General features: G+C 47.8%; 1 protein-coding gene and 2 long non-coding RNA genes across 12 annotated transcripts, besides 3 other annotated features; 2 read left to right on the forward strand and 1 right to left on the reverse strand.

Annotated features, from left to right (window-relative positions):
* Positions 12–311: a silencer, noted in NCBI's record as "silent region_5595". NCBI's record gives its function as "represses an Ori minimal core promoter by ATAC-STARR-seq in GM12878 lymphoblastoid cells {active_cell/tissue: GM12878}" and the evidence as "EXISTENCE:reporter gene assay evidence [ECO:0000049][PMID:35858748]".
* PRMT5-AS1 (PRMT5 antisense RNA 1) lies at positions 244–4195 on the forward strand. Of its 2 annotated transcripts, none has more exons than NR_120599.1 (2): positions 244–1908; positions 3757–4195. It is a non-coding gene; the product is annotated as a PRMT5 antisense RNA 1 (long non-coding RNA). The 2 variants fall into 2 exon arrangements; NR_120600.1 differs by having other exon boundaries at positions 3867–4195.
* Positions 1317–10164, reverse strand: PRMT5 (protein arginine methyltransferase 5). 9 transcript variants are annotated; one of them, XR_429287.3, is made up of 18 exons: positions 10040–10164; positions 9285–9403; positions 8914–8999; positions 8314–8448; positions 7490–7602; positions 7294–7343; positions 6921–7084; positions 5667–5828; positions 5420–5497; positions 5267–5325; positions 5058–5180; positions 4796–4971; positions 3839–3948; positions 3530–3623; positions 3231–3347; positions 2964–3028; positions 1628–1844; positions 1317–1519 (listed from the first exon to the last, which is right to left on the reverse strand). XR_429287.3 is itself a non-coding variant. In NM_006109.5 (17 exons), exons 1-17 carry the CDS (start codon positions 10147–10149, stop codon positions 1692–1694), a joined length of 1914 nt encoding a protein of 637 aa, NP_006100.2. In that variant the 5' UTR covers positions 10150–10164; the 3' UTR covers positions 1317–1691. The 9 variants fall into 9 exon arrangements, 7 of the variants coding, with proteins under 7 accessions (NP_006100.2, NP_001034708.1, XP_047286837.1 ...); XR_001750113.3 differs by having other exon boundaries at positions 9955–10164; NM_006109.5 differs by having other exon boundaries at positions 1317–1844.
* LOC124903285 (uncharacterized) lies at positions 5089–7690 on the forward strand. Its single transcript, XR_007064073.1, has 2 exons — positions 5089–5229; positions 7249–7690. It is a non-coding gene; the product is annotated as an uncharacterized LOC124903285 (long non-coding RNA).
* Positions 6750–7949: an enhancer, noted in NCBI's record as "MED14-independent group 3 enhancer chr14:23395171-23396370 (GRCh37/hg19 assembly coordinates)". NCBI's record gives its function as "activates an origin of replication core promoter dependent on BRD2, BRD4, P300/CBP and CDK7 cofactors, and independent of MED14, by STARR-seq in HCT116 cells {active_cell/tissue: HCT116}" and the evidence as "EXISTENCE:reporter gene assay evidence [ECO:0000049][PMID:35650434]".
* Positions 10008–10117: an enhancer, noted in NCBI's record as "active region_8154". NCBI's record gives its function as "activates an Ori minimal core promoter by ATAC-STARR-seq in GM12878 lymphoblastoid cells {active_cell/tissue: GM12878}" and the evidence as "EXISTENCE:reporter gene assay evidence [ECO:0000049][PMID:35858748]".

Raw genomic sequence — 10271 nt, forward strand, 5'->3', positions numbered from 1 at the left:
CTCACTGGTTTCGCGGCAACCGTCCAAAGTACAGGTTCTCATTGGCTAAAGTCCTAAGTATGGGTGGAGCAAACTCAAATGCGTCTTAGCAACCACCGAGTTCCCATTGATTGGCTAACCTCAGAGACTCCAGAAAATGGAAGCGTCCTTTGGTAGCCGCCCATCACTCTCTCATTGGTTAAATGACTTGCGGAGGGCGGGGAAAACGGGACTGAAAACGGGAGTGAAGAAGCCACCAACCCCACTCCTGGTGCTCGCGTAGACTAGACCAGTGCGATGGGCGGAGCCAACGAGGAGGCACAATTTACATCCTTGGCCGTCCCTACTCGGATTTGCTGAAGGAGTCACGTCGGTCGTTAAGGTTAAGCTTTGTAGAGAACAGCGGCGTTTGTTTAACGTCCGGGGATGCTGAACTCGAAATCCCCGTTCTGAGCCGGCTACCTAAACAACCTTCCCGACCACCTCTCCTGACCTCGGTGCTTGGGACCAGGGAAAAGCAGATCTTGCCACAGACTTGTCTTGGCCCACACTCTGCCCTATCGTCATGGCCTGCTCCCACAGGTCATAACTTCCGTTCAAATCAGTACCCCCACATTTCCCACTGCAAGGGTAAATTTGAAAGTTTCTCAGGTGACTCCTTGGATGTAGCAGTACTGAGTCCTCTAACCGGAAAGAAGGAACTGATGTCCACCCTCACTTTCCAGGGGCCTCCAGGAGCCCCTAGACACTTCTGTGGTCTACTGTAGCTACCAAAAATGTAGCTGGTTATAACATGGGGAGAGCCAGAGTCGGAGGACCTGACTTCCAATTCTGACTTGGATACTAATATCACATCATTGTACCCATTTCAAACTCCCCCTCTGTAAAATGGAAAATTGGACTAGATGATCTCTTAGGACTTCAAACTGTAACCCTGTGGTTTTATTCAAAAAAAACAGGTAGCTTCTTGCTGGAGATTCCTGGATGGATTCCAGTCTTCCCAAGAGGTAACAAAGGAGAGGTAACCAGTTGCCCGTGCAGTAGCTCAAGAATACAGAAGAGAAACTGGCTTCACTCACTATTCCATCTTTTTCCAAGGTGGCAAACTCTATGCCTCCTCCCCAGAGAAAAGCCTAACTGTAGGTTCTAATGGACAAGAGCTCACTGTAGCTGGTCAGAAAGGCCTATATCCAGGACTACAATAGTCATTGCTCAGCTTCCTAAGTAGGGAATACAACTAGGCCCCTTTGGGTCTTGGATAGGCTAAGAGGACAGATCTGAACATGCCTGGGTCTAAGTGAGGTGTGGGAAAATAGTGGCAGGGGGCAGCATGGTCGTGCAGTAAAGGGCTATAACTTTATTTGTATTTCCTCTTACACAAAACCATCAAAACAAGAACAGAAAAAGGCTGAAAATCCGTTCAAACCCCATGTTCTCAGGGATATTCCAGGGAGTTCTTGAGGCTGAGTGCGTAGCTTCAAATCCAGCACTAATTCCTCACCCCCTGGCCTGAGGTCTTCATAGATTGGTGGCTTGAGCCCTGCAATTAATTATAATCCCTTGCCCACCTTGATGTAAGGCAGGAAAGCAGATTGAAATGCTCCTCTCTGATGGGCAAGGGGAATCACAGCCCATAGATGTACTGCACCTTCTGTACTACAGGAGCAGAACCTGAAGCTGCTTCCAAGGCTCTGGACACTTGGCACGCAGGGCTAGAGGCCAATGGTATATGAGCGGCCTGTGGGGTTATGAATAGCAGAACAGACTGGTGCTGTCACAGCCCACTCATACCACACCTTCTTGGAATTGCTGCATCGCCAGAAACGCACACAGATGGTTTGGCCTTCACGTACCGTTATGGGCTGCTGTAAGAAGAAAGACAGGAAGGTTCAGGGTGAAGCTATGAATTATACATGGCAATGTATTAAGGTAGGTGTGGAGATAAAATGATAAACATGACAAGACTGTCCCAACCCTCATGAAAGTTATTTGAAGCCTATCAGAACACAAATAATCAAAGGTGTGGTGAGAGCTGTGAACATGTACAGAGTCAGAAAAACACCTATGAAAGGGAACACTAACCTAGTCTAGGAGATCAGAGAAAGTTTATCTCACAATAAAAATGTTTAAAGAAGACCTAGAAGATAGGTTAACTGTGTGAAGAGACAAGCAAAGAACTCTACAGGCAAGAGAAAGGCATGAAAGCCTGAGGTAGGAAAGAAGATAGACAATTAGAACAAAAAGAAGGTCCATAAGGCTGAAGCAGTGTAAGCAAGGGGACAGTAGCTGCAAAGGCAAGCAAACACTCGATCACATCAAGTCTTACAAGCAATGTCCCAGATTTTGACTTTTATCCTAAAGACAATGGGAAGGCATTGAAGAGTTTTAAGCAAAAAAGAGAGATAAGATCAGGCCAGGCGCGGTGGCTCACGCCTGTAATCCCAGCACTTTGGGAGGCTGAGGTGGGCGGATCATGAGGTCAGGAGATCGAGACCATCCTGGCTAACACGGTAAAACCCCGTCTCTACTAAAAATACAAGAATTAGCCGGGTGTGGTGGCTGGCACCTGTAATCTCAGCCTCAGGGAGGCTGAGGCAGGAGAATGGCATGAACCCGGGAGGCGGAGCTTGCAGTGAGCCGAAATTGTGCCACTGCACTCCAGCCTGGGCGACAGAGTGAGACTCCGTCTCTTTAAAAAAAAAAAAAAAAAAAAGACAGCAAGAGAGATAAGATCAAATTTGAGTTTTTAAAAGATGACTCTTGCTCAAAGTAGAGAACAGACAGAAGAGTAGCCAGAGTAGATGCGGGAAAGCCAGGCAGAAGGCCACTCCAAATACTCCCAACACCTACCACTGGGATCCAAGAGCATATGAAATCAGGAGAACATGAGTCATAGTCAACTATCTTCCTGGGAGAAGGAAAGAAGCACAACACCAAAGGCAAAGGTTACTGCTTAACTAGAGAGTCTTAAAAGCAGTTCCTACCTTAATAGGGAAGAGGATGGGAAACCATGAGAACATCCCAGGAGAGTGAGTCTCTGGACGGATACCTGTGTGGACAAAATAATGAAAAAACAGAGGTCTCCATGGCTGTGACTTTTGCCTATGCTGAAGAGGGTCTCTTCTCTAATCACACAAAGATCTCCATTCATTGAGCACTGGGCCCCCCATAAATCTAAATGACACATGTACATATAAGCTGCCCAGGAAGCACACCCTCATACTCTGCCATCTACTGCCATAGACACTCACTCAGAGTGATGTCCTGATAAAGCACAGTCTCAAAGTAGCCGGCAAAGCCATGTAGTACTGTGTTCACCTCCACAGGAAATTCCAAGGTGCAATAGCGGTTGTTGTCAATCATAGGATCTGTCAGGAAATAATTATGTGGGTGACAAGGGGCCAGAAGCTCTAGACAACTTGATAAAGCATGAGCAAGACCCAGGAAAGGAAGAGTAGATAAGGCAGACTAGGGACAGTAAGGGAAGAAAGCAGGAGGAAGGAAGAAGCCCGTACCCCTCTAGTCAGAGGACAGCCATAAAAGAACCTACCTCTGTTGGGATGGCTGAAGGTGAAACAGGGCTGGGGTGCAGAGAGCTGGTGGAAGTTGTGCAGCCGTACCACATAAGGCATCTCAAACTGGGCCTGTCAGAGACAGAAAGAGAGAGAGAGTGTTGGGGAAGACACACAAGAGAGAACTACTTCCCCAAGGATTAAAAAAAGTTTTACTTTAGTGCTTCCCCAATCCCTAACTTCTCCTTCACCTCTTCATCCCCAGCAGAAGAAAATAGCTGATGCAAATACAGAAAAAGAAGAGGACTAAAGAGTACCACTTCTTTCCAGAGAGAGTGGTTCTTTACCTCAGGGTCACGGTCCTTCTCCCTACAGGCTCGGACCTCATTGTACAGCTTGGAGGAAGAGATGGGAGCCAGAAAGGAAGTGTACTCCCCGGGGATGCTCACACCATCATCTGCACAGCAGGAGAGTCAAATTAGTTCCAGAGGGAGGGAAATGGTATGTCTGTACTAACTGAAGGATCAGAAGGATCAAACCTCCCATGTCAAAACCAACCAACGTTGGCATGGGCATGGAAGAAAGAGACAAATGCATGTTGTCACATTACTAAGCCAGCCTGCTTCCAACTACTGTCATGGAGGATTCCACTACTAGGTTAATTTACAGAGTCACACAGATTAAAACTGAAAGAACCCAAGATAGTCTAATCTGGTGGTTCTTAACTTTTGTGGGGTCACAAAGTCCCACAAAAGTTCCTGATGAAAGCTAAGCTCAGGGTACATATGTCATATTTATTTATTTATTTATTTATTTATTTATTTATTTGAGATGGAGTCTCGCTCTGTTGCCCAGGCTGGAGTGCAGTGGCACAATCTCAGCTCACTGCAACCTTCTCCTCCCAGGTTCAAGTGATTCTCGCGCCTCAGCCTCCCGAGTAGCTGGGATTACAGGCGTGCACCGCCACGCCTGGCTAATTTTTGTATTTTTAGTAGTGATGGGGTTTCGCCATGTTGCCCAGGCTGGTCTCAAACTCCTGACCTCCCGCCTTGGCCTCCCAAAGTGCTGCAATTACAGGCATGAGCCACCGCGCCCAGCCCACTCCCTTCATTTTACAAATATGAACACTAAGGTTTGGAGAGATGACTTCATTTGCTAGGGGCACAGAGGCAGTGAAGCAGTGGCTCTCAAACTCATATGATGTGACCCAGGTCCAACCCACTTTCCCCTAAACCCTGTACCCTCCTCCCAGGTTGCTGTCTCACCCATCATCACCCTCCACCTACACCCCAACCTGGGGGCACCTTTTAGGAAGTGCTGGGCTCCATCCAGGCACTCAGGCGACAATTCATTGTCAGCAAATGAGCCCAGAAGCTCACTGACAATGATGTCTGCTTTCTCTGGAGCCACCCATTCCCTCATGTCTGATGAGACTACGGTCACTTGGCTTCCCCATTCTTCAAACTGCCAGTTCTCTAGCCTGAAACAGAGACAATAAGGTAAGGAGAGATGTTAAGGAAATTTGGCAATGAGGACTAACTTCCCAGCAAGCAGGTTGCTACTCACGTCACCACGGCATTTGGGTTTTTCTCCACAGCATACAGCTTTATCCGCCGGTCGGCCTGCTTGGCTGCCCGCAGGGAAGCGTTCACCAGGGGTCCCCGTCCTGCTCCCAGCACCATCAGTACCCTAAGAAAGAAAGGGAAGAGTCAAGCAGACTTGGCATATACAGATATAGGTATGCAAGTCCCTGAGATTGAGGGGAAAGCACTCACTGGACATTGGTATCCTTCTCCTCTTCTGGTACTCGGTCTAGCAGACATTTATAGATGGCCTGGAGGGAGGAGAGAATATCCCATGGTTGTAATCCCATCCTCCCCAGGTCATGCTGGCCCTGTGCTTTCCTCACCCTGGGCACCACACAGTACCTGCTGGTACTGAGAGTATTTGATGGGGTCCTTTTCAAACACTTCATATGTCTGAGATTCCAGATTGTCCATCAGTGGCTGATGAATGAGGAAAAGGACAAAGTTAGCCAGTTTCTGGCAAAGGACAATGCACTAAAATATCAAAAACTTTCCACTGCTTTCTGAGTTTTAGTAAGATTTGGAGGCATATATTCTCAAGAAACATTTTCCATCCCACCTTCCTCCTCTAAGTGCACTCCAGACCCACCTGAAGCGGGGACTGCAGATAGTCTTCATAGCCCTTGGCAAAGAGTTCATAGGCATTAGGTGGAGGACGGTTCTGGCTTAAGTATTCCAGGTATTGGAGGTAGGAGCAGAACTCCTTCTCTGAGTGGTGGTTGGTGCCTGTGATGATGAACTGCACCTCCAACTGTGAGAAAAGTCAGACCATCAGACACAGCCCTCAAACCAAGATTCTGGAATATTATGGTATATGGCCAAAGAGCCCTAGTGTAAAATAAGGCCCAGATCAACAGTTCTCTTTTTTTTTTTTTTTAAAAAAAAAGATGGAGTCTCGCTCTATTGCCCAGGCTGGAGTGCAATGGCGTGATCTTGGCTCACTTGCAACCTCCACCTCCCAGGTTCAAGCAATTCTCCTGCCTCAGCCTCCCAAGTAGCTGGGACTACAGGTGCGTGCCACCATGCTTGGCTAATTTTTGTATTTTTAGTAGAGACGGGGTTTCACCATGTTGGACAGGCTGGTCTCAAACTCCTGACCTCAGATGATCCATCCGCCTCAGCCTCCCAAAGTCCTGGGATTACAGGCGCGAGCCACTGCACCTGGCCCAGACCAACAGTTCTCTAGCGTCTGTCCCAATACCAACAAAGGCAGCATGAGGCTTCAGTAAACTTATAAAAAGCCCCCTTGGCCGGGCGTGGTGGCCCACGCCTGTAATCCCAATACTTTGGAAGGCCGAGGCGGGTGGATCATTTGAGGTCAGGCGTTCAAGACCAGCCTGGCCAACATGATAAAACCTGTCTCTACTGAAAATACAAAAATTAGCCGGGCAGTAGTGGTGCATTCCTATAATCCCAGCTACTCAGGAGGCTAAAGCAGAAGAATCGCTTAAGCCTGGGAGGCAGAGGTTCTGGTGAGCTGAGATGGTATGGCTGCACTCCAGTCTGGGTAACAGAGTGAGACCCTGTCTCAAAAAAAAAAAGAAAAAAGAAAAAGCCCTCTTATGCCATGAAAGTATCAACACCCAAACAGCCTCATGGATCCTTGCTGTAACTTCCTAAATGAAACCTTCTGCAAAGTTCTCATGAGGTTTGGTTTGTTTTGAAAGGTTTCTAGGGCTACTACTGGCATTTACCTTTTTGTTCTCAAGATTCCCAACTTCACTGAAATTGCTCCCCAGAAACCAAAGAAAAAGAGTCAGCCTCACAGGAAAAAACGATCATACACAGGTAAATAAGGCAAGATGTATAGCTGGACTACCTTTAGAACCCTCCTACCACTCACCTTGAGGAGCCGGAAGATGAGCCTCTGGTGCATCTTAGAAAGAACAGGAAATCCCTTCTTATTGGTCAGGAAAATGCTAGTGGGGAGAATGGCTGCTTTGATGGGCTCCCCAAGCCAGCGATCAATGACATGATTAGATGGGAGGTCAGCCCCAATTTCAAGAGCTACATGAGGCAAAAGAAAAACTGTCAACCACTGCCAGGCAAGAAACCCTTCCTTGCTCCTTTGCGCAAAATCTGTTTACTTCTTTAAGAGAAAGCCAGTCTGAGACAGAGGGGAAGTAGCAAAATTGTATACTATATATGAAATTCCTGATTCTTATTCACAGGAGGTAAGAGAAGCCACACCCATCCCAGGATTCTCATGGACTCACCCACTGCAATCCTCTTACTATAGTCACACAAAGTCCGGAAGTTGTGCCACCTGTTCAGTCAAATACAGAAAAGTACAGTAAACTAGATATGGCCGACCAATCACCACAGCTCAAGGAGACCTCCCTACAGGTTGCACCCTGTACTTCCCCTCACCCTATCCCTTGCACCCTGGTACAGCAGCAAAGGGAGACATACCACATCCACGTTTTCTCCTCCCCACTGTACTCCTCTGTGTGTGTAGTTGGTGCATTCTCAATTATATCATCTCTCAGGTCCTCTGGTGCCACCAAGGGTACCCGCATCCAGAACTGCACATGAACAGTCACCCTTTTAGAACTCTCTTTTGAACTCATTGGGTCCAGAAAGTTTCCCTCAATAAAAAAAACTTCATCCAGACCTCGTTAATCCCTTTATATGCTTTTCCCAATTTGTAATTTTGTAAGTGAACATGTACCTTATATATAGATCCTTATGTAAATATCTGCCTTGTCTTACGTAAGTTTCCAAAATAATTACATTTACATGTTTTGAAACTCTCTTCATACCACTTTTAGATGGAGAGGTGCGCAATACTGACCTTTTTTTTTTTTTTTTTTTGAGACAAGGTCTGGCTCTGTCACCCAGGCTGGAGTGCAGTGGTGCAATCTCAGCTAACTGCAACCTCCGCCTCACAGGTTCAAGTCATCCTCCCACCTCAGCTTCCCAAGTAGCTGGGACTACAGGCGTGTGACACCCCACCTAGCTAATTTGTGTTTTTTTGTTTTTGTTTTGGTTTTGGTTTTTTATACAGACAGGATTTCACCACGCTGCCCAAGCTGGTCTCGAACTCCTGAGCTCAGTGATCTGCCCACCTCAGCCTCCCAAAGTGCTGGGATTACAGGCATCACCCACTGTGCCCGCCAATACTGATACTTCAATTCTGCCAAACACACCCTTCACTGAATGGCTAGGCACAAGAAGGTACTTAGCACAATCTGACTACTATGATATGCAGCAGGAAAGGAGCCCCTCAGCTATACCATGGAAGAGTGATGGCCAGTGTGGATGTGGTTGGTCAAAACTCTGGCCAGGTTGGTGTTATCTTCCTGATTAAGGGGCAGCAGGAAAGCTGGAAGACCCAAATATGCACCAAAATTCAGCTCCTGTAACATGGCCTGGAACGGAGATGAAGAGGAAAAGTTTGAGCTAACAAGCAAACAGCTTTTTTTTTTTTTTTTTTGAGACAAAGTCTCACTCTGTCACCCAGGCTGGAGTGCAGTGGCACAGTCTCCACTCACTGCAGCCTTGACCTTCCCAAGCTCAACTGATCCTCCCTCCTCAGCCTCCTGAGTAGCTGGGACCACAGGCATGCACCACCATGCCTGGCTAATTTTTGTATATTTTATAGAGATGGGGTTTCACTACGCTGCCCAGGCTGGTCTCGAAATCCCGAGCTCCAGTGATCCTACAGCCTCAGCCTCCCAAAGTGCTAGGATTATAGGTGTGCACCACAGCACCCAGCCTAATAGCTTTAATTTCATTCTATCAGTTAATTTACCAAGTTATTGGGGATGGGAGGGGACCACTCTCCCCACCCAGCTTGGTTAGAAAAATCCAGCAGAGAAGTCAAACAGTCTTACCGCCTCGGAGTTCCTGCGAATCTTCTCCACTTTTGAGTCTGGACGAATCCATGGAGAAAGCTTTCCCACAATTAGCGTATTCCAGTCTGCACTCCCCCACCCAAGAAAGACAAATACTGAATAAGGTTCAGCACTTTACTTGTTCAATTTTTAGTTTTGGGAATCAAGAGTAGAAATGAGAGACAAAGGTTTTTTCTACATAGACATGGGATAGCCTGATGCAGAATAGAGAAGCAAGGAGAAAACAAGTTATCTATATCCCAGGGACTAACAAATATATCCAAGTCAGAAAAGGAGGAGAATGAGGGCCCCGATAAAGCAGAAGTTGTTATTGCCTCTAATAATTAAGGGGCATATGGGATGGTCCCTACCCCTTCCTGACAGCAGTAGGTCTGATCGTGTCTGGGGACCGGGCCGATTCTTAGCAGGTTCCTGAATGAACTCCCTCTTGAAACGCGGATGGAAGACAGGCATGCAGAGGAAATCAAACCTACAACCGCGACAGACCCAGAATCATGTAAAGACAGCAGCAGTGCCAGAGAGCCAAGCAACTGGATTTAGGCTATCTTGATTTTGCACAGCCCTTTCAGCTGCCATCAGTTCAGCCTACTAGGCTGCTGAGTTCAGACCACCTTGGGGGATATCAACTCTGCTGTACTGTGCCTCAATTTCTCCCTAAAACACAGCCATGGGACATATGAGTAAGGAGAAAATGATGGATATCCACAAGTAGAATTTTTTTCTCCTCAGGTGTCAGTATGTTTCCAAGACCATCACATCCAGATTTGCCCCAGTTCTGCCCATGCCTCCCCCGTCAAAATTAGCCTCTTCTCTCCCTTGCCCCCTAACACCTCCTCCCACTCCCAGACAATAATCGCGACCTCCAGGGCCCTTTAGAGTTTACCCAACAACTCTCCCAACTTTGGGACTCAGTGACCACAGGCCTCCCACAAGTTATTTTCCTCACGTTACTGGGTCCGAGGCTCCTCCCCTCCAAAGAGTAATAGTCTCTCCCCTCCTCATCCTAGCCGACCCCCTCACCCCTGCTTCTCCGGGATGACTAGTCTGCCCTTCTCCGTCCCCGAGTTCGGACCCCGCATTCCGCTCGTGGAGGTCCGGCCCTCACCCCTGCTTGGCCACAGCCCCTAGTGTGTCAGCTATTTCGGGGACGCAATTCAGGTCCCTCCCGCTGGACACGCGGCTCCCACCAGCACCCCCGACCGCCATCGCCGCCATCTTTCTCCTCGCGCTGTCCACGCCGGGATTCCTTGATACTAGTAGCCAATCACAAAGTCAAACTAGTGCCCCAGAAGGCGGGACGAGTCGCCTTAACAACCAGAGCGTCTGCCACAGCTCCC

Source organism: Homo sapiens, chromosome 14 (genome assembly GCF_000001405.40).
Source record: "Homo sapiens chromosome 14, GRCh38.p14 Primary Assembly".
Lineage (NCBI taxonomy): Eukaryota > Metazoa > Chordata > Mammalia > Primates > Hominidae > Homo > Homo sapiens.